Here is a 23,315-nt window from a genome sequence, read left to right as displayed (position 1 = left end):
TGATCACCACAAATGTTTTGTGGACTGAGGAAAAGTACAAAATATGTGAAATATTTAATTAATAATCCCTGTTGCTTCGGAATCAATCCTAAATCTCAGGCCATCAACAGGACAAGTTTTTAACATTAGTTAAAAACTGCCCTCAAAACTCAAATAGAAAGTCTGGGCTATTCAAATCAAGCATATTTCTGCTTCTAATCAGAGCTAAACACAAACACTCTCAGACATACACTAAAAGTTTAATAAAAGGAATGATGATAATGAAGGGGTGTGTGCATGTGTGCATGAGCAAGGAAAGAGTTGTGACTCATAACAATGGAAATCAATTACTACATTTTCAAGCTTGCTCCTGGGCCTGTGGAATGCAACACAGTCACATTCCCAGATGCCTGGGATGATAGGCCAGGCAAGCTAACACAAAAAAGAGAATCACACTCCAGTTTGTGGTGATATGCACAGGGTATAGAGGCTCAAATTCTAATTTGGATACTCTTTTTGAACTAGATGCTCTTTTTGAACCTAGGTTGTATCATTTATAAAAGGTAAATGATAACAAATATAGCATTTGCTTTCTCTCTCTCTCCACATAGCCTTATACAATTTTTTTCTTTTGCTAAACCATTTGAAAGTTGCAGACATCAATGACACTTCACTTCAGGAGTATGTGTTTTAAAAAAGGACTTGCTGAATCAATTTCCTCAATTCAGCAGTTTCAAACCTCATGAGAGACTCCTGGCGCAATGCTTCTAAACTATATTATGTATGAGAATCACCTGGAGAACTTGTTAAACCACAGACTACTGGGCTCCACTCCCACAGTGTTCTATTCAGAAGGTCTAGGGTGGAGCTCAAATATTTGCATTTTTAACAAATTCCCAGGTGATGCCACTGGTCCTGGAATCACATTTTGAGAAATACAGCCCTAGTAGACTCTGTGGCCACTGGTAGATATTTAATTAGTCTAGACAGTGCTTCTCCAATTATACTGTGCATACAAAGCCCAGAGCATCTTGGGATCTTATTAAAATACGGATTCTGATTCAGTAGGACTGGGATAGGATTTGAGATTCTCCATTTATAACAAGCATTCATGTAGTGTGATGCTATAGGTTCTCAACAATGGCTGCTAGTTACAATCAGCTGAGGAGTTTTAAAATATAGTGGTATCCACCCTGGACCAATGAAATCAATTTCTTGGCTGGGCATGGTGGCTCATGCCTGTAATCCCAGCACTGTGAAAGGCCGAGGCAGGCAGATCACCTGAGGTCAGGAGTCCAACGCCAGCCTGGCCAACATGGTGAAAACCCATCTCTACTAAAAATACAAAAATTAGCTGGGCATGGTGGAGGACCCCTGTAATCCCAGCTACTTGGGAGGCTGAGGCAGGACAATCACTTGAACCCAGGAGGCGGAGGTTGCAGTGAGCCAAGATCATGTCACTACACTCCAGCTTGGGTGACAGGGCAAGACTCTGTCTCAAAAAAAAAAAAAACAAAAAGAAAGAAAGAAAAGAAATCAATTTCTGTACATAAAAAAAGAAAAATGCAAAGAAAAAAATGTCCAAAAATAATTCTTGTATGTACCTGATACGGTTTGGATGTCTGTACCCTCCAAATCGCATGTGGAAATGCGATTCCCACGTGGGAGGTGGGGCCTAATGGGAGATGACTGGATCATGCAGGAGGATCTTTCATGAATGGCTTAGCATCATCCCCTTGGTAATAAGTGTGTTCTCGCTAAGTTATTTCACACAAGATCTGGTTGTTTAAGAGTGTCTGGGACCTCCCCCATCTGTCTCATGTTCCCACTATTGCCATGTGACATGGTGGCTCTCTGTTGCCTTCCACTATGATTTTAAGTTTCCTAAGGTCTCACCAGAAGCACATGCCAGCACCATGCTTCCTATAAAGCCTGTAGAACCATGCGCCAAGTTAAATATCTTTTCTTTATAAATGACCTAGCCTCAGATTATTTCTTTTTAGCAACACTAGAATGGACGAATACAGTACCCAAGGCTTGAAAACTATGAGAAAAATTTAGAAACTATAGTCTTAAATCAAAGAAATAGGTTTTTAACCACAGATTTCAGTCACTGTGAAACATTCCAAAATTTTATCTAGTTCTCCACAGAATCTTAGTACTGAAATATAATCTCCTCTTACATACACATTTTGACAGTGTCCCCATACTCATAAGGTTGAGTCATGTTTTCATCTTCCATGATCCTGATAAAGCCCTTGTTTCTACTTTCAATTATAGTACTTATGTCTATAAGCATTCTCCATGTTAGTTGCAACCATATCCTTTCAGTTACTCATGCCAAAACCCTTAAAATGATTCTTCCCAACTCCTTTTTAAACAGATTTTCTGAGGTATAATTAACATATGATAAACTACATCTACTTAAATTGTACAGTTTAATGAATTTTGACATTTGTGAGTCTACTACCACAAGATAACATATATAATTATCACCTCATGCTCCTTTGTAACCCATTCCACCCTTCCCAAGGCAATCACTGATCTGCTTTCTGTCACTATAAATTAGTGTACATTTTCTAGAAAGTTATATAAATAGAATCATATAGTATGGGCTGGGCACGGTGGCTCCACCTGTAATCCCAGCACTTTGGGAGGCCGAGGCGGGTGGATCACGAGGTCAGGAGTTCAAGACCACCCTGGCCTATGGTGAAACCCTGTCTCCACTAAAAATACAAAAACTAACTGGGCATAGTGGTGCGTGCCTGTAGTTCTAGCTGCTTGGGAGGCTGAAGCAGGAGAATCACTTGAACCTGGGAGGTGGAGGTTGCAGTGAGCCAAGATCGCGCCACTGCACTCCAGCCTGGGTGACAGAGCGAGACTCTTGTCACAAAAAAAAAAAAAAAAAAAAAGAATCATATAATATGTATTCTTATTTTGGTCTGGCTTCTTTTACTCAGCAAAATTACTTTGAGATTCATCCATGTAATTGCATGTATCAGTAGTTTATTAATTTTTATTGTTGAGTAGTACTTCACTGCATGGAAATACTACAATTTGTTTATCCGTTCATCTGTTAATGGACATTTGGGTTGTTTACAGTTTGGAGCTACTACAAATAAAACTGCCATGAACATTCATATGCAAGTCTTTGCACATATATTTCCTTTTCTCTTGGGTAAATGCCTAGGGGTAGAACAACTGGATCATATGGTAAGTGTACGCTTAAATTTCTAAGAAGCTGCCAAGGTATTTTCCAGAGTGGTTGCACCATTTTATATTTTCACCAGCAGTCTTTGTGAGTTTCAGTTCTTCCACAACCTTGATAGCATTTGGTATACTCAGTCTTTTTTTCTTTTTCCCAGATGGAGTCTCGCCCTGTCACCCAGGCTGGAGTGCTGTGGTACAATCTCAGCTCACAGCAACCTCTCTGCCTCCTGGGCTCAAGCCATACTCCCCTCTCAGCCTCCCAAGTAGCTAAGACTACAGGTGCACAACACCACGCCTAATTTTTGTATTTTTTTGTAGATACAGAGTTTCATCATGTTGCCCAGGCTGGTCTCGACTTCCTGGGCTCAAGGAATCCACACATCTTGGCCTCCTAAAGTGCTGGGATTACAGGTGTGAGCCAGCATGCCTGGCTGGTATAGTCAGCCTTTTAAATTTTTATCACTCTATTAAGTGTCTACTGCTATTTTTCTTGTGGTTTTAATCTGTATTTCCCTAATTACGAATGGGGTATCTTTTCATGTGCTTACTTGACATTCATAAATATATATATTTTTAGGAAGTGTCCAAATCTTTTGGTCACCTTTTGTATTAACATGTATACAAAATTTTGAAATAAATTTTAAATTCTTTACTCATTTATTTTTATCTGTATGGATTAATGGCTATTTATTTTATTCTTTGTGTTATGATCTAATATATTCATTACTTATTACTTGCTCAAGTAATTCCAGCTTTGGCCACTGGGAACTCTTTTCAGGTTATCACCTGTGTCCTTCTAAACTACAAAACTTCAACTAAAGGAAATAGAAAAATTTTTAAAAATCTTTGTGACCTTGGATTAGACAAACGTTTCTTGTATTTGACACAAAAGCATAACACATAAAAAACCAAAATTTGGTAAACTGCACTTCATCAAAATTAACTTTTGCTCTTCAAAAACACCGGAAAAAAAAAAAAAGAACAAGCCAGACTGGGAGAAAATAGTCACTATATGTATATATATAAATGGAAACCTGCTGAACTTTTATGAATTATAAATAGCATAAAGTAAAATTACCAAAATGACTGTAAAATAGAAAACATTGAAAATATGGATTTTACTCTCTTTTAGCAACTGAATTACCTGAGAGTGGTTAGGGTTACAAGGGCAATGTCAATGGAATATAAAAAGATATACAAAATTAGAAAACACCAGTTTATTCATGATCCCTTCAGACCACAGGTGCCTTAATATTCAAAGCATCCTCTTACAGTGACTCAAATTCCAGAGGAACCAGCCATTACTACACTAAAAAAAAAAAAAAAAAAACAAACAAACAAAAAAAAAACAATGACAGGCCAGGTGCCGTGGTTCACACCTGTAATCCCAGCACTTTGGGAGGCTGAGGCAGGTGGACTGCTTCAGGCCAAGAGTTCGAGACCAGCCTAGCCAACATGGTGAAACTATGTCTCTACTAAAAATACAAAAATTAGCCAGGTATGGTGATGCACGCCTGTAAGCCCAGCTGCTTGGGAGGCTGAGGCATGAGAATTGCTTGAACCCGGGAGGTGGAGGTTGCACTGAGCCTGAGATCATGCCACTGCACTCCAGACTGGGCAACAGAATGAGACTCTGTCTCAAAAAAAGCAAAACAAACAAAAAGGCAATGACAAAAAGTGTCAGTACATACAATAAGTAATATAACATTATCATAACGAGTTAGAAAAAAATTTGTAATGCTCTCAGTTTGACTTAAGAACTGAAAACACAAACTGACAGGTTGTATCTTTCAATAGATAACTGACTAAAAATAAAATTGGTGTCATTTTGCAGCATCAGAGAAATAGGTTAACTTATGTATACAATTTTTTTTTTTTGAGACGGAATCTTGCTCTTGTCGTCCAGGCTGGAGTGCAATGATGCAATCTCGGCTCATGGCAACCTCCGCCTCCCAGGTTCAAGCAATTCTCCTGCCTCAGCCTCCCAAGTAGCTGGGATTACAGGCGCCCACCACCACACCCAGCTAAGTTTTGTATTTTTAGTAGAGACAGGGTTTCACCACATTGTCCAGGCTGGTCTCGAACCCCTGACCTCAGGTGTTCCAGGTGATCCACCCACCTTGGCCTCCCAAAGTCCTGGGATTACAGGTGTGAGCCACTGCACTTGGCCTCTTTTCTTCTTAAATTACCCTGGATTATTCCAACAGTCATGCAGTGGTCTCTCTACCTCGATCCTTGCCTTTTTCTGCAGGCGTTCTCAATGGAGTAGTTAGAGTTCAGTCGCCTCGGCCTCCGAAAGTGCTGGGATTACAGGCGTGAGCCACCACATCCAGCTATGTATACAAATTTTTAAAAGAATTGGATCTTTTGTTTTCTTTTAAAGATCTCTATCCCACAGAACTAAAGCTAGTTTAGGGTGGAACTCATCCGCCAGAGGGGCTCCTTACAAAAGAGGAGAAATAAAATGTTAACAGAAATCAATAGTATAAAACAATTGAAGGTTAGAATAGACTTTACAAAACAAAATCCTTTAAGTCCATAAATTCCACACAATCACAAGCAAAATTTTGTCTATGTTATTTTTCTAGGAAGCACAAGTTTTGTTATTGCAGTGAGTCACTAGACTCATTTGCTCAGGTGCCCATAAACTGATCAAAAACATACAAAAGAGGCCAGGCACAGTGGCTCACACCTATAATCACAGCACTTTGGGAGGCCAAGGTGGGAGGATTACCTGAGGTCAGGAGTTTGAGATTAACCTGGCCAACATGGTGAAATCCCATCTCTACTAAAAATACAAAAATTAGCCAGGCAGGGTGGTGGGTGCCTGTAATCCCAGCTATTAGGGAGGATGAGGCAAGAGAATTGCTTGAACCCGGCAGGCGGAGGTTGCAGTGAGCCGAGATCATGCCACTGCACTCCAGCCTGGGCAACAAGAGCGAAACTCCATCTCAAAAAAAAAAAAAAAAAAAATTAGCTGGGTGTGGTGGTGGGCCCCATCAATCCCAGCTACTCGGGAGGCTGAGGCAGTAGAATCGCTTGAACTCGGGAGGCAGAGACTGCAGTGAGCTGAGATTGTGCCATTGCACTCCAGCCTGGGCAACAAGTGTGAAACTCTGTCTCAAAAAAGAAAAAAACAAACAAACAAAAACATATGAAAAAGCTGCAATTAGTCACCCATAGCAACTCAACCAGGGAAATAATATTTATCCCTTCCACTCCACCCCACACTAGTTAGTTTGTTCTAGGACTGTTTAAAAGTCCTAGTTCTATGACTCTTTTTGGGGTCCTGAAACAGCCACCTAATTCTGGGTTTAGTGACTCTACGAAAGCCCATGTCATCACCGTTCTTGGCTTCCCTATTACCTCCTACCATCTAGCTGTAAGTATTTTCTACATGACTTCGTATATCTTAAGGCCAGTAAAATTAAATTTATAATGAAACTACATTAGTGGCTACTTATTCATGAGAAATGTATCATTTTTGAAAACAATATTTATTAATAAATGTAGACTATCTCATGTAAATCTCACAACAGCCCCATGAGGCAGTTACTATTATTATCCCCACTTTACAGATGAGGGCACTGAGGTTTAAAAGTCTCACTGCTAGGCCGCGGGCGGTGGCTCACACCTGTAATCCCAGCACTTTGGGAGGCCGAGGTGGGCGGATCATGAGGTCAGGATTTCGAGACCAACCTGGCTAATATGGTGAAACCCCGTCTCTACTAAAAATACAAAAATTAGCCAGGTGTGGTGGTGGGCACCTGTAATCCCAGCTACTCGGGAGGCTGAGGCAGGAGAATAGCTTGAACCGAGGAGGCAGAGGTTCAGTGAGCCAAGACCATGCCACTGCACTCCAGCCTGGGCGACGGAGCGAGACTCCGACTCCAAAAAAAATAAAACATAAAAAAAAAAAAGTCTCACTGCTAGTAAAGAGCAGGTCACAAACCACTGCACTACACCACAGACAAGAAAATAAACATGAGCCAGGCACAGTGGCTCACACCTGTAATCCCAGCACTTCAGGAGGCTGAGACAGAAGGATTGCTTCAGTCCAGGAGTTCAAGACCAGCCTGAACAACATAGTAAGATTCTGTCTCCACTAAAAATTTTTAAAAATCAGTGGGGTGTACTGGCATATGCCTGTGGTCCCAGCTACTTGGGAAGCTCAGGTGGCAAGATCGCTTGAGCCTGGGAGGTTGAAGCTACAGTGAGCTATGATTGCATCACTGCATTCTAGCCTAGGTGACAGAGCAAGACCATGTCTCAAAAAAAAAAGGAAAAGAAAAGAAAAAAGAAACATGATCTAAATGTCCAGAATTCAAAAGGAATCAAGCAGTGAGCTTAAAGGTAATTCCTAATATACAGTTATTACCTAACCAACAGAAAGGAATTTATAATAACTGTATATTTGTTGAGTTCTTCATAGAGAATAAATGAGTAGGTTGACAAGTAGGACATTATGATGAATAAGGGTTCAGCAATCCCCATATGTTGAGTTAGCAAAATTTCTAAGAACTGACAAAACTTTCATTCACCTGCAAGTCTATATTAAACGAAATTAGTGGCATATATTTGATAAGTTCCAACATATTTCTGTGTGTTAAATAAATGTGTTTGGACTACATTACTTTTTTTTTTTTTTGAGATGGAGTTTCGCTCTTGTTGCCTAGGCTGGAGTGCAATGGCGCAATCTGAGCTCGCTGCAACCTCTGCCTCCCGGGTTCAAGCAATTCTCCTGCCTCAGCCTACCAAGTAGCTGGGATTACAGGTACACATCACCACTCCCAGCTAATTTTTATATTTAGTAGAGATGGAGTTTCACTATGTTGGTCAGGCTGGTCTTGAACTCCTGACCTCAGGTAATACACCTGCCTCAGCCTCCCAAAGTGCTGGGATTACAGGCGTGAGCCACTATGCCCAGCCTTGGACTACATTAATTTTAAGGCCCCCTTATGCAATAAAACTCCATGATTATTAGACAAACCGAATTATGTAACTTTTATCTTCTAGTTTTATCTAATTATAAAGTAAATTCCTGCCTCTTAAACTGTTATTTCTAATTATTTAAACATTAATAACATGATTAAATCCTACACCTGAAATACATATACAACCTATTGTAGTTCTAAAACGTTATATTTTGGGGTTTGGTATCTTTGTACTGTGATTCTACAATGTACTACAGTAGTAATTTTTGTCTGTTCAAAAGATATTTCCATTATCCCTTTCAGAATACAAATCCTGCTCCTCCATGATCTGGGCATGTGACCTATGCTGACCAATTATAATATCCTACTACCCTAAACACAGAGATTTATTCAAAGATAAGCATGTGACAAAAGCAGAACCTTTCCTGAAATTAATATGCTGACACTACAAAAAAAAAATAAGTTCTACTAGGGTTCTAAACAGAATGGATATAGGCTTGGACTGTTGATGTCTTCCTTGCCAGCTATGAGGAAAAAGTCTACAGTAGGAACTTAATAAACTGAAGCCAAGTAAAGACAAGCAAAAATGAAAGAAAAGAGTGAACCAAAGTCCTGATGAAATCCATGTGGACCTTGAATCTATTCCAGCCTTCCAGGTTAAAATAGCCAATGCATGGAATTTTTGCTTAAGCTTGTTTATATGGCTTTCTGACATTCGCAAACAAAAAGTCTCTATTGAACTAAGCTGGAGATGACAGGTTTCAACATGAGTACCAACACTCAATATTGGCAGTGACTGCCTACAGCACTGAGATGAGAGAGACTGAGATCTCCTCCGGGGACGAATGCAATGATCTAGCAACGGTATCTGCCATGAATAAGGCAGCACATGCCACATACTTGTCAGCCTTTGGCTGAGCAGTGTCTTAGGAAATGACACTGGCATATAAAAGCAAAAAGCAGTAAAAAGAGCCCAGGAAGCCAAAGCAGAGTGGGAAAAATTGCATCAGGGAAAAGAAAAAAAGTCACAAAAAAATGGCAAATCAAAATAAAATTGGCTTGATTCAGAACACATTTTAATGTTCCAATTACTCTCTAGTGTAATACTTTAAGAAAAACACTGATCCACTTCAAGCTCATTCTCTGTATTCTTTCTTTTTGCTTAAATATACTCTGGATCATTTGTGACCCAGGGAAAAAAGGTTATCGTTCATCAGTTTAGGTTCACATTTAAGGTCAAGTCCCCCTGGTTTAAAGGCATTCTCAAAATTAAAATTTATGTCAACATATCTACACTTAGTTCTAGTCTAATTTTTCCAAAGCATGTGACTTGATTTGTGATCCAGGATCAAAAATCCCAGAACTGAATCCCATTTCTGCCATGTACTAGCTTAGACAAATCTCTCAACATTACCTCTGAACATTTCCCTCATCTGTAAAATGAGAATAATAGTACATACTTCAAAAAGTTGCTGAAAATCAAAGTGTGCCTACAAAGTGGTTGGCATGGTACATGGCACACAGTAAGAGCTCACTAAACATTAACCATAATTATTTAGCATTCACTTAAAAAATTTTCTAATAGCCACTCCATTCCAACCTTCTTAACACCCTAATCTTGCCATTAAATGCCCATTTGTTCATTCATTTAACAAAAATATATACTGCTTACAAATAGAGAAAATAGATGAATCAAATACAGAACTTTTTCACAAGTACAAACTATTAAGATTTAATGGTAGACAGCAACAAGGCAAGAAAGAAATATATAAGTTCTCTGGCACTTTTGATGGAGAAAGATATCATTAAAGATAATAACCGGGCTCTTTAAAGAGTTCATTCATTCAACACATGATGAATGAATGTGGTAAAGATGTGGTGTAGGAAAGTAGTGGAATACAGCATTTTCTAGAGTAAGGATTAAGGACAACTAAAGTACTAAAGGAAAAAAGGAAGCATGTATGTGAAACAGCAAGCAGTTCAGGTTGGCCTCAGTGAAGGTACTTGAATAGGAGTAAAAGAAAGTTAAGACTGCCCTCTCCCTTCTTGACCCCTATCCTTTCTCACCCTCCCTCCTTCCCTCCTGTCGCCATCACTTCTGGCACCGCTGCACCCATAGGAGCTCCCCAGTGGTGATGGGTTCTCAGCCCTCCATGTTACTGTGGGATGAAGAGCTTGAGGAGATAAAGAAGATCAGTTTTTCCCACAGTCAAATCACTTGCTCTACAGCCGGTTCACCAGCCTGGACAAAGGAGAGATGGCATTCTCAGCCATGAAGATTTCCTGAGGATTCCAGAACTTGTCATCAACCCACTGGGGGACCGAATCATCAATGTCTTCTTTCCAGAGGGAGAGGACCAGGTAAACTTCCATGGATTCATGTGAACTTTGGCTCATTTCCACCCCATTGAGGATAATGAAAAGAGCAAAGATGTGAATGGACCCGAACCACTCAACAGCCGAAGCAACAAACTGCAGTTTGCTTTTCGACTATATGATTTCGATAAAGATGATAAGCTCTCCCGTGGTGAGCTGATACAGGTGCTACACTTAATGGTCAGAGTAAATATCTCAGATGAGCAGCTCGGCAGCATCGCAGACAGGACCATTCAAGAGGCTGATCAGGATGGGGACAGTGCCATATCTCTCACAGAATTTGTTAAGGTTTTGGAGAAGGTGGATGTAGAACAGAAAATGAGCATCCAATTTCTTCACTAAAGGACAGAGACCAAACTGTTCCTTGCGGTCTAGTATTTAATAACTGGAACTTGAAAGTCCTCCTTCTACCAACCCCACCTCCAACCCATCATTCCCCTTCTCCCAAAGTACTACTGCTGTTGCACGACAACCCCAAATATGTTCTGTCAACACAAACCTGCCTTTGATGCATAAACAGGGCATTACAGAATGGTACACCCAGTCTATTTCTGTTCAGTATCCAGTCACTAGTTCTTCATTTATAAGTATCTTTTTCCCCATTCTGCTGCTGAATGCATATCCATACAGTCTGAGAAAGTGAGAGACGGAATCATGCCAAGAACAAGCCAGCAAAGCTCTTTCACCAGATGTAGACTGTAGCCCTACTGCCTTCCCTCTAGCAAGTATGCCACCATGCTTCTTCATCCTTTTCATATGTCCTTTGCTTCCTACTTCTGTGTCATCCAACATACTGTTTGCTTAGTCTGGCAGTCTTTCTGCTTTTCAGTAAGCCTCAAAATCTAATCTGTTCTACTTGGCACTGCTATGCCCTATGTATTCCTGACTTGACAGGATAGTTCAGGGGTCTGGCAGTTTTTATTTACCTTCATTATTAAATGGGCCTCTGGGATGTTGCCTCTCCAGGAGCTTTTTGGTAACCAACACTTCTCTGAGAAGTATGACACTATCCTCTGCATTCTACTCTGTCATCAAAGGGCTGCTGGGTGGAGATACTCATCTTGAAAGGTGGCCTTGGTGAGAGGTGTGGAGACAAGTCTTCTGGGTTGCTTGCCCACATCACTCTACCTCTGGCCTCTGATTCTCAACTTTTACCTACATGGCTCCTCGTTAGTGCAGTGTTGACTGTTCAAAAAATAGCAATATGCCTATGGGTTTGTTTAGTTTGGGGACACCGTTACCACCAGAATGACTGCTCTGGCAATATGCCTGGGGACTTTTTCATGGCTTTTTATCAAGGCAGCTGGACACCCTATAAAGCCTCACGCATTCACACCTTTGCAGCATGGTTTATGACTTAGTGTTACGTGCACTGGAATGTTTTTCACTTCACATTTCCAAGTAGAAAGATTAGCGTTAACTTATCCCAGTCCAAAACATTTAAAGATTGTTTCCTCCGTATCTTGAAGTTTTGCACAAAATTCTTTTTTATTTTTTTAAGACGGAGTCTTACTCTGTCACCCAGGCTGGAGTGCAATGGCGCAATCTTGGCTCACTGCAACCTCCGCCTCTGGGTTCAAGCAATTCTCCCGCCTCAGCCTCCCAAGTAGCTGGGATTACAGATGTGCACCACCAAACCTGGCTAATTTTTGTATTTTCAGTAGAGGGTTTCACCATGTTGGCCAGGTTGGTCTTGAACTCCTGACCTCAGGTGATCCTCCTGCCTCAGCGTCCCAAAGTGCTGGGATTACAGGTGTGAACCACCATGCTCAGTCACAAAATTCTTTATGAATTTTACACTTGGCAAATGTTAATGATGGAAGCCATAGTCAGCTCCTAATACATGTCCAAAGCATTGACTATTGTATCATTAGCTGCCTGGTTACACTAGCTTCCTACTTCCTTGTATAGACCACTGCTAATCCCTTAAAAATGAGGTCTGGCACTAGTAGCACAACCTAAGGTGGCATTACAGGTCTTCGAACAAGCCACAGCAACTTTTCTGCCAAAGTCAGCTTAGTTTAGACTTCAGTGAATCAAGCTATTGCCATCCTAATGTATGTCCCTATGAGTCTATTTATCCAAACATCTGCCCTTGGCTGACTTTCTCTGATTCACTGCTTGCGTGCTTGTTTCCTTGCTTTGGAAAACTATTGAAGATGTGTACATAATTATTTAGGAAGGGGATTGCTAAAAAAAATACCACTGCAAAGTGATGGAAAAGGGTAGAGAACAGGGAAGTAGCTGGGCTGGATGGCTCAAATATAAATGAATGAGAAATTCTTCATGAAGTATCAGTCAGACTTTGTGATCAAGTGAAAACGGAAGAATGTCTGACACTGATCTATAGAGAGGTACTTCAGAGGCTCCTTGATTTGCATATCTAAAGTTCCTAAGGTTATAGCTTTCCCCTCTTTTGGCTGTATAGCAAACTGTTTTAATCCACGGTTGTGCCTTATTGTTCCATTAAAATATATCAATAAACACTTGTGGTTGAAACAAAAAAAAAAAAAAAGAAGAAAGTTAAGACTAAAATCTGGTCAGCTCGAGATCCTTAAAGGCTCTGAAACCAAGTCCAGAATCCCACTTTCATTCTGTCAACGTGAAAATTTAAAGATTTGTAAGTGGTACAATTATAAGTTCATAACTGTATAGGCAAAAGATGAGTGTGCTATAACATGTAAAATAGATTGGAGAAGAAACGTCTGCTGTACCAGTATGAAATCTGCAAATTAATTAGGCAGCTAGAGAAAACATGAAAAGAAAGTCTGAAGGGAAAAATACTAATACAATTGAATCAGTAAGATTAAAAATTTAATGAAATTTGGGAAGAAGAAATTAAAGATGATTTAGGTTTCAAGCCTTAGGTCTATGAACTGCACTGAGGAAATATGGTTCCCAAACTTCACAGATCTCTTACCCATTTTCTGGAATGCCATATCATATTTTAACTTCTTTAATGCACTAAATTATTTTTACTTATGGAGTGAAACATGTATCTTGCAAGAACATGATATAGTAACTAATAAATAGATTAAAGAAATCTGGAGGACTGTAAGTATGCTGAGCAGGGAAGGGAATGGGGTACTTATTACATTTGATACATCATAACATGCCAATTAAAAGTAGAATTTGAACTTCTGTAATCATTTTTTCATAAAAATAGGAGCCAGGATTCCTATATCCATTTGTTCACTGGTGTATCCCCAAATTTCTAGAATGGGGTCTGGTATATTGTTAGAACTCAATAAATATATTTGTTAAATGTATATATAAATGAGAAAAGAAAGAAGTTATTAAATTTTAAGAAAGGTTCTACGTTGGTCTCAATGTTCTGAGCGTTCAATATTCTCTCCCAATCTTTCTTTTATTAAAATAGCCTTCTGTAGGTGACTCTATTTTGAAAAATCTAAAACTGTGACAGATTTAGTAAAATGTTATAATAACCACTTTAAATAATACTAAATTATTGTATTAACCACTAAAAGCCAAAACAAAAATCTTAATGTATCATCAGACATAAAAATAGTAATATCTGAGATTTTATACAAATTTTTAGGTATACTCCATTTTTTGGGTTGGCTCCATTTCACAGTTTGGAAATATTTTTAACTTCAGATATGTGATATAAAGTTAAAATTACCCCTTACCCACATGATCTTCAAGGCAAATATGTTAGTTACTATATGGGAAAATTTAAAATGTTTCCTTGCAGAGTTTATCATCTTACCAGGTCTTTCCTTCCCAGTGCCTTTTGACTCAGCAAATTTTTGTATCAAACTTTCAACTGTAGTATTAGCCATGTTATTTATAAATTCTTCATGGACCTATTAAAATGAAATAAAGATAACTTTTTCTTTTTCCACATTCTTAGTGTATTTCAGATAAAACTTACACAAGACAATTAAAATTAATTATATCAAAATATGTATTTTTGACCCAAGGCCCTTTGAGGACTTTAATTTACCTAACTTCCAGCATTACTGGATCTGTAGGGACCAACCATGACTTACATTAACCCCTTAACACATAGCCTCACGCCCCTAGAAGTCAAAGCAGTTTTCTGTTCCCATCTTTGAGCGTTCTAGAGACATCATTCTTATGATAAGACTTATACAGACAACAAAAATACTTTTGGCTTAAAAAAAACACACACACAGTCTGACTCTGTCACCCAGATGGCTGGGTGTCACGGCTCACTGCAGCCTCAACCTCCTGGACTCAAGTGATCCTCCCACCTCAGCCTCCCAAGTAGCTGGGACTATAGGCATGCACCACCACACCCAAAAATTTTTTAATATTTAAACAATTTAAAATCTTTTTTAATATTTAAACAATTTAAAATCTTTTTTAATATTTAAACAATTTAAAATCTTTTTTAATATTTAAACAATTTAAAATCTTTTTTAATATTTAAACAATTTAAAATCTTTTTTAATATTTAAACAATTTAAAATCTTTTTTAATATTTAAACAATTTAAAATCTTTTTTAATATTTAAACAATTTAAAATCTTTTTTAATATTTAAACTATTTAAAATCTTTTTTAATATTTAAACAATTTAAAATCTTTTTTAATATTTAAACAATTTAAAATCTTTTTTAATATTTAAACAATTTAAAATCTTTTTTAATATTTAAACAATTTAAAATCTTTTTTAATATTTAAACAATTTAAAATCTTTTTTAATATTTAAACAATTTAAAATATTTTTTAATATTTAAACAATTTAAAATATTTTTTAAATTTTGTGTAGAGATGAGGTCTCCCTATGTTGCCCAGGCTGGTCTCAAACTTCTGGGCTCAAGTAATCTTCCTGCCTTGGCCTCCCAAACTGCTGAGATTACAGGTATGAGCCACCGTGCCTGGCTAGTTTGAAGAATAACAGACTTCATCTTTCTCTACTATATTTCAGTATACCCCAAATTGTCATCATTAAACCTTTTATATTTGTGGAACACTTCTAAGTAAAAGTTCTATAGTTTAATAAAGTTGCTGCTTTAAATTTAAAAATAGTAAAGCTTGAAAAAAGAAATATTCAAAAGTTGATAGCTTTAGAAATTCAATATAAAGAAAACTGAATATAGTTAATTTAAAAAATTAATTTGAATTATCATCCTCGGTGGCCAAATGATAAAATATCCAGTTTATTTTCTATTTACTACATGTAAATATATTATCTTTACATATTCTTTATTTGGAAAAATTCGGTATTATACTTATGAACTTTGAACAGAGTGAGAAAATATTTTTAAAGAGCTATAAATAAACAAATTTTTCATGAATAGTTCAACATAAAGTAAAAAAACTTACCTGGCCTATCTGCAAATGAATTTCCTTTATAGCATTTGACAAGGATCCTATAATTTCCTTTATGTGAATGAGATGAGTTTCTTCAATATCTTGAAATTTCTGGGTAACATATACAAAGTTATAGATTTATAACATATACAGGTACATACATATATATTCTGGAATCAAAAGAGCTTTCAGAAATCATCTCTCCCAGCACTTTGGGAGGCTGAGGCAGGTGGATCACTTGAGGTCAGAAGTTCAAGACCAGCCTGGCCAACATGGTGAAACCCTGTCTCTACTAAAAATACAAAAATTAGCCAGGCATGGTGGCAGATGCCTGTAATCCCAGCAATTCAGGAGGCTGAGGCAGGAGAATCATTTGAACCTGGGAGGCAGAGGTTCCAGTGAGCCCAGATCACGCCACTGCACTGGAGCCTGGGCGACAGAGCGAGACTCCGTCTCCAAAAAAAAAAAAGAAATCAACTCAATATAACCAAATTTTCCAAGTTACCACTTTTACACAATGTTTAACCAAGCCTCAAGACAGACAGATCTAGCAGGTAAACTGAAATATGGCACTGCAAAAAGTTAACTTTTTGTTATGTCATTTCTTAGGTAAATACAAACTTTTCTAGAATTTGGAGCTTTTTTTTTTTTTTTTTTTTTTGAGACGGAGTCTTGCTCTGTCACCCAGGCTGGAGTGCAGTGGCACCATCTTGGCTCACTGGAAGCTCCGCCTCCCAGGTTCACATCATTCTCCTGCTTCAGCCACCCGAGTAGCTTGGACTACAGGTGCCCACCACCATGCTGGCTAATTTTTTGTATTTTTAGTAGAGACGGGTTTCACCGTGTTAGCCAGGAAAGTCTCGATCTCCTGACCTCATGATCCACCTGCCTCAGCCTCCAAAAGTGCTGGGATACAGGCGTGAGCCACCGCACCCAGCCGAATTTGGAGCCATTACACATTAAAATCTATAATCGTGATCAGAAAATTAGGAGACCCAGAAGAGAATAATGTTACAAAAAAAACAAAGAGTTTTAAAAACTGAAAAACAATCAGTTGGCAAAGCAAAAACTACAGTTTACTTTCAAATGCTTTATAATCTAGCCCATAGATTTTCAAAATGTCTTTCTAATCCTTGAAATAATAATATACACCGGGCACGGTGGCTCACACCTATAATCCCAGCACTATGGGAGGCAGAGGTGGGCAGATCACAAGGTCAGGAGTTTGAGATCAGCCTGACAAACGTGGTGAAACCTCGTCTCTACTCAAAATACAAAAAATTAGCCAGGCGTGGTGGCGCGTGCCTGTAATCCCAGCTACTTGGCAGGCTGAGGCAGGAGAATCGCTTGAACCCGGGAGGCAGGGGTTGCAGTGAGCCGAGATCACGCCATTGCACTCCAGCTTGGGCGACAGAGTGAGACTCCATCTCAAAAAAAAAAAAAGAAAAAGAAAAAAAAGAAAAAAGAAATAATAATATACAATCCCCAAAAGAGATGGCTGTCATCAAAGAAATCTGGGAAAGCCTATATACTCTATTTCAGCAGTTCTCAACCAAAAGTGAGGATGTGTTAGATCACCTGGAGAACCTTTTCAAACTTCAAAACAAATAGATCCTCCAGTACTGCCTGGGTAATGGGGGTTGAAAGAGATGAGAAAGTTGTTTGGAAAAAATTTCCAAGTTACTCTGATATCCCCAGAGAGGAAACCACTGCTTGCCTTGCCTTCACAATAAATATATCAAAAGCTCTGAGAGGCCAGGCACGGTGGCTCACACCTGTAATTCCAGCACTTTGGGAGGCCGAGGCCAGCTGATCATGAGATGAGGAGTTCAAGACCAGCCTGGCCAACATGGTGAAACCCCGTCTCTACTAAAAATACAAAAATTAGCCAGGCATGGTGGCGCATGCCTGTAATCCCAGCTACTAAGGAGGTTCAGGCAGAGAATAGCTTGAACCCAGGAGAATTCCTTAAACTTGAGAGGTGGAGATTGCAGTGAGCCAAGATCGCGCCTCTGCACTCCAGCCTGGGCGACAGAGTGAGACTCCATCTTGGAGAAAAAAAAGAAGGTCTGAGAAATACTGAAATAATGACACGTTTCACTTTGCTTAACCCGGCATTTTCTAAATTTCTTTGACCTTACAACACTTTTGTTTTTCTTCTTCCCTGAACATCTATTAATATCTCACAGAGCAATAATAGTCCTCAAAACAGGCTTTGGGAAATGCTGAGCTACCCATTTTCAAACAAAATACATTTGTCATTTCTATTGTACAAACCTGGTTATCTATTTTTTTCCAAATTAAATCAGTTCTAAGGAATGGGCCTAAGCCTTACTATTTTTATCTTGTTAGTTTATGAAATTTAATTCCCTGACCCTATATTTAATGTCTAAATTTCTTCAGTCACTTTGGTGACCAGAAATCACCAAATGATATCTAATGTGTAAATGGTAAGAACCTCTAAAAAAAAAAAAATCCAGAATGGTGAAATTACAGTTTCGGCAGTATTGCAACAGCCCAAAAACTTGAATCAATTTGATTTATGAGGAATGGCAGAGTTAAAGTGGAATACTTGTCATTGATTAATTTTGACCAAGTCAACGAGAATACAGTACCAGTATTTCAAGATCCTGAATTACTCTCAAGAACTGAGGAGCATTTACTAGAAGGATGGCCCTTAACTTAAATTTCAGCAATTTAATAAACAAGATATTTTCTCAGACAGGTAGCCATTAATTTCATTTGAATGACCCTTAATTCCGAGGAAACTGTCTTCATTCCCTTTTGAAAAAGCTACACTCAACAAGGCAGATCTTTATTTATTTAGAAATATCTTAAAATATGAATCCACAGAGAAACTCAAGGCATGAATCAGATGCAATTTTGAAACTGTGGGGTTTTGGGGGTAGGGGCACACTGCTAACTATCACAATTCCTCAAAATTAGTGACTACTAAGCTCAGAGTAATTCAGCAATGGGAAATGGATATAGTCTCAAATGCTTGAGTATACATAAATGAACTTTCCTGAACAAATTAGATAGGCACTTTACTCCCTGCAACTTCAAATTCACTGTGTTCACATGTATTGTTACATTAATTTTTTTTTTTTTTTTTTTTTGAGACGGAGTCTCGCTCTGTCGCCAGGCTGGAGTGCAGTGGCGTGATCTCGGCTCACTGCAACCTCTGCCTCATGGGTTCAAGCAACTCTCCTGCCTCAGGCTCCCGAGTAGCTGGGACTACAGGCATGTGCCACCACACCCAGCTAATTTTTGTATTTTTAGTAGACAGAGTTTCACCACGTTGGCCAGTATAGTCTCAATCTCTTGACCTCGTGATCCACCTGCCGCGGCCTCCCAAAGCGCTGGGATTACAGGCGTGAGCCACCAAACCCAGCCTGTTACATTAATTTTTAAAAGTATAGTCATGAGCCACATAATGACATTTCTGTCAACAACTAATGCCATATATGACAGTGGTACCAGAAGATTATAATAGATATGAAAACTTTCTATTGCCTAGTGACATCATAGCTGCCATAACGTAGTGCAACGCATTACTCACGTTTGTGGTGATGCTGATACAAACAAACCTACTGTGCTGCCTGTCACATAAAAGTACCGCATAGCACATAATATACAGCACATAATACTTGATAATAAATGATGTTACTGGTAAATGTATTTACTAAACTACACTTTTTATTATTAGAGTGTAATCCTTCTACTTATTAGAAAAAACAATAACTGTAAAACAGCCTCCAGCAGGTCCTTCAGGAGGTATTCTAGAAGGCTTTGTTACCATAGGCGATACTTTTTTTTTTTTTCCTGAGATGGAGTCTCGCTCTGTTGCCCAGGCTGGAGGGCAGTGGCGCAATCTCAGCTCACTGCAACCACCACCTCTCAGCTTCAAGTGATTTCATGCCTGAGCCTCCCACGCAGCTAGGATTACAGGCGCGTACCACCACGCCCAGCTAATTTCTGTATTTTTATTAAAGATGAGGTTTCATCATGTTGGCCAGGCTGGTCTCAAACTCGTGACCTCAAGTGATCTGCCCACCTCGCCCTCCCAAAGTGCTGGGATTACAAGTGTGAGCCACCAAGTCCAGCCAGAGATGATAGTTCTATGCATGCTACTGCCCCTGAAGACCTTCCAGTAGTACAAGATGTGGAGATAAAAGAGCAATCCTAATGATACTAAGCCTATGTAGGCACATGTTTACTGTGTGCGTTTGTGTCTTAGTTTTTAGGAAAAAGATTTAAAAAGTTAAAAAAAAATAAAAATTTTAAAACAGAAAAAAAGCTGATCGAGTAAGGATATAAAGAAAATACTATTGTACAACTGTACAATGTGTTTCTACTTTAAGATGTCATCCCAAAAGAGTCAAAATGTTTAAAATTTTTTTAAGTTTCTAAAGAAGTTACAATAAGCTAAGGTTAATTTATTATTGAAGGAAGAAAACAATTTTTAATAAAATTTAATGTAACCTAAATCTACAGTGCTTATAAAATCTACAGTAGTGTACAGTAATGTCCTAGGCCTTCACATTTACTCACTACTCATTCACTAACTCAACCAGAGCAACTTCCAGTCCTGCAATCTCCATTCAACATAAGTGTTCTACTCAGATGCAGCATTTTTAATCTTTTATACTGATTTTTACTATATCTTTTCTATGTTTAAAGACACAAATACCATTTTGTTATAACTGCCTACAGTATTCAGTACAGTAACAGGCTGTACAGGTTTGTAGCTTACAAGCAACAGACTAAACCATATAGCCAGGTCTGTAGCAGTCTACACCATCTAGGTATGTGTAAGTAAGTACATTCTCTCTTTTTTTTTTTTTTTTTTTTTTTTTTTGAGACAGAGTCTCACTCTGTCACCCAGGCTGGAGTGCAGTGGCACAATCTCGGCTCACCACAACCTCTGCTTCCCATTTCAAGCAATTCTGGTGCCTTAGCCTCCCAAATAACTGGGATTATAGGCGTGCACCACCACACCTGGCTAAGTTTTGTATTTTTAGTAGAGACAGGATTTCAACATATTAGCAAGTCTAGTCTTGAACTCCTGACTTCAGGTGATCTGTCCACCTCAGCCTCCAAAAGTGCTGGGATTACAGGCGTGAGCCACCATGCCTGGCCAGGCATAAGTACATTCTATGATGTTCACACAATGACAAAATTGCCTAACGACATTTCTTAAAGTGTATCCCTGTTGTTAAGCGACACAGGGCTACACTATCTTCTCAGCCACTAAAGATATATAAAAGTACGCTAATCCTAATAATCTTTAATCTGAGGGTACTGCTTAACAAATCTCAAAGTTTCCATAAACTAGCCATCTCACTGCTTTAAAGTAAACAAAATCTCCATATTCTGTTTCAAGTGTCTCATTAATTAATAGTGGTAAAAGCATGAGCATAAAAAGTCACAATTTCAATCATTTTTATCCTAAACCTAAATTTTAAAAACTTAAATCACAAATACTCTAAATTCTAACCTCTTTCACCCTAGAGACTCAATGATCTTCTCCCACTAGTAAATATAGGTCCTACCACCCAAATTTGATTCTCACTATACTGTCAGGTTCTTTCTTTCCCACTGAGACTGGTCAACCCAGCTGGCCTGGAAAAACAGTTAAGTGGAGAAGTAAAAGGATTACTTTCCCTTCTAAACTAACCCAAATTAAAGTCTATTCTCTATGAAGAAACAATAATTAACCTATTCTGCAGCTGTAGAGTATGACAGAAAGAGAGGGTGAGACAGAAACAGAGATCTCTAAGATCTTGAGAAAGAACAAATACACACACATTAGTAAAGTATGCCATCATCTTTATTTAAAAGCAGCATGGTCACACATTTGCTCAAATAAATTAATGTTCCCATCTTAAAAAGGGCAGAATGGGCTGGCACGGTGCCTGTGATCCCAGCCAGCATTTTGGGAGGCCGAGTTGGACAGATCACTTGAGCCCAAGAGTTCAAGACCACCCTGGGCAACATGGTGAAACCCTGTCTCTACTAAAAATACAAAAATTAGCTGGACATGATGGTGCACACCTGCAGTCCCAGTTACTCAGGAGGCTGAGGTGGGAAGGTCACTAGCCTGGGAGGCAAAAAGGCTGCAGTAAGCCAAGATCGTGCCATTGCACTCGAGCCTGGTTGACAGAGTGAGACCCTGTCTCAAAAAACAACAAAAAACAAACAAAAAAACCAGAAAGGCAGGATGAACAATTAAAATGCCATTTTGGAAAAAAATGTAATGAGGAAGCAGAACATGAAAAGGAAATGGAAAGATGTGCTGAACGCTCTTTTTTATAAAGTAACATCAACAAACAAAAAACTCTGACTATAGCAAACTCTGTTTATTCCAATTTTAAAAATTAATGAAACGGCAAATGCTTAGCTGATAAAGACTAACCATTTAATGTGAAATTAACATATCAACAATAACTCCCTTATAAATGTGTGCTCCTAATGATTTAAAAGACAAAACAGCACTTGCTGAAGCCTGCAATGACCTCAGTTGCTACAGAAATTGCAACTTTCTATCTCACTAGACTTGAAGCCTTATTTAAGACAACTACCTAAACCCTTCCTTCTTGAAGCTTCTTTTTCCAGCTACCATGACATTACACTTCCAGTTTTCTTCTTTCTTCTTTGGCTTCCTCTATTAAAATCTCAATAATGAGTCTCTCAGAGCTTGGCCCTGAGGCCCTTTCTTCCCCACACTCTAAAAGTGCTGTCATCATGGCTTTGTGTACTGACAAAACCCTATTTTATATGGTCTGATAATCCTTATTCAAAACTTTTGGGACCAGGCGAGTTTTGGAATTCCTTTTCTTCCCTTGTTTTTTAAATAAAGATATATAGTATTATTTAGAATGCCATATACCTCATTCATAATACTACCAGCAGGATCTGTAGTGGCATCTGTTTATCAAACACATTAATATTTCTAAAGGAAAATATACGTAGGATAAAGACTATAGACAGCCTCGTATCAGTTCAAGTCAAGTTTTGTTGTCAAATAAATCACAGAAAAAAAAATACTTGGTTTTCAGAGCTCTTCGGATTCGGAATTGTGGATAAGGAACTGTGGACATTATGTCCAGCCCAGATTACTTGGCTCCTCCAAAACTGCCCTCCTGATGTCACCAATTATGTATCTCATAGGCGTCTTAAAATTAACATGTTCAAAATTGAACATTGATCCCTTCCTTCCATCAAACTAACAGTTCTTCATCTAATCTTCCCCATTCATCTCTCTCCACATAGATTTAACAAGCTAAAACCTGGAAGGGATCCTAATCTTCCGAAGAATTCCTCAACCCATCCTATCCCTGCCATCTCCAATGCATTCACTTGTCTCCTTCTCCAAGACCACTACGCTGGCCCTCATCCTTCTCACCTGACTACTATACTGACTTCCAAACTGGACTCTTGATTCTCCTTTAGACATACTCTAATCAATTCTTCCCAAAACTGCCAGAATTATCTTTAAATGTAGATCAGAT

General features: G+C 38.6%; 1 protein-coding gene and 1 pseudogene across 9 annotated transcripts in view; one reads left to right on the top strand and one right to left on the bottom strand.

Annotated features, from left to right (window-relative positions):
• FCHO2 (FCH and mu domain containing endocytic adaptor 2) overlaps positions 1-23,315 on the bottom strand; it is a 134,482-nt gene that overhangs the window by 58,985 nt on the left and 52,182 nt on the right. For 8 of the 9 annotated variants that reach the window (NM_138782.3, XM_017009016.3, XM_017009017.3 and 5 more), the window contains 2 exons: positions 15,814-15,912; positions 14,230-14,326 (listed from right to left, as the gene is read on the bottom strand). In NM_138782.3, coding sequence (NP_620137.2) covers positions 14,230-14,326; positions 15,814-15,912 — 196 coding nt within the window. The remainder of the gene's footprint in view (positions 1-14,229; positions 14,327-15,813; positions 15,913-23,315) is intronic. The other variant, NM_001146032.2, reaches the window with a different exon arrangement.
• CHP1P1 (CHP1 pseudogene 1) lies at positions 10,151-12,134 on the top strand (annotated as a pseudogene).

The sequence above is a fragment of the Homo sapiens genome, chromosome 5, assembly GCF_000001405.40.
Source record: "Homo sapiens chromosome 5, GRCh38.p14 Primary Assembly".
NCBI lineage: Eukaryota > Metazoa > Chordata > Mammalia > Primates > Hominidae > Homo > Homo sapiens.
This window is presented reverse-complemented; position numbering and strand designations above follow the sequence as displayed.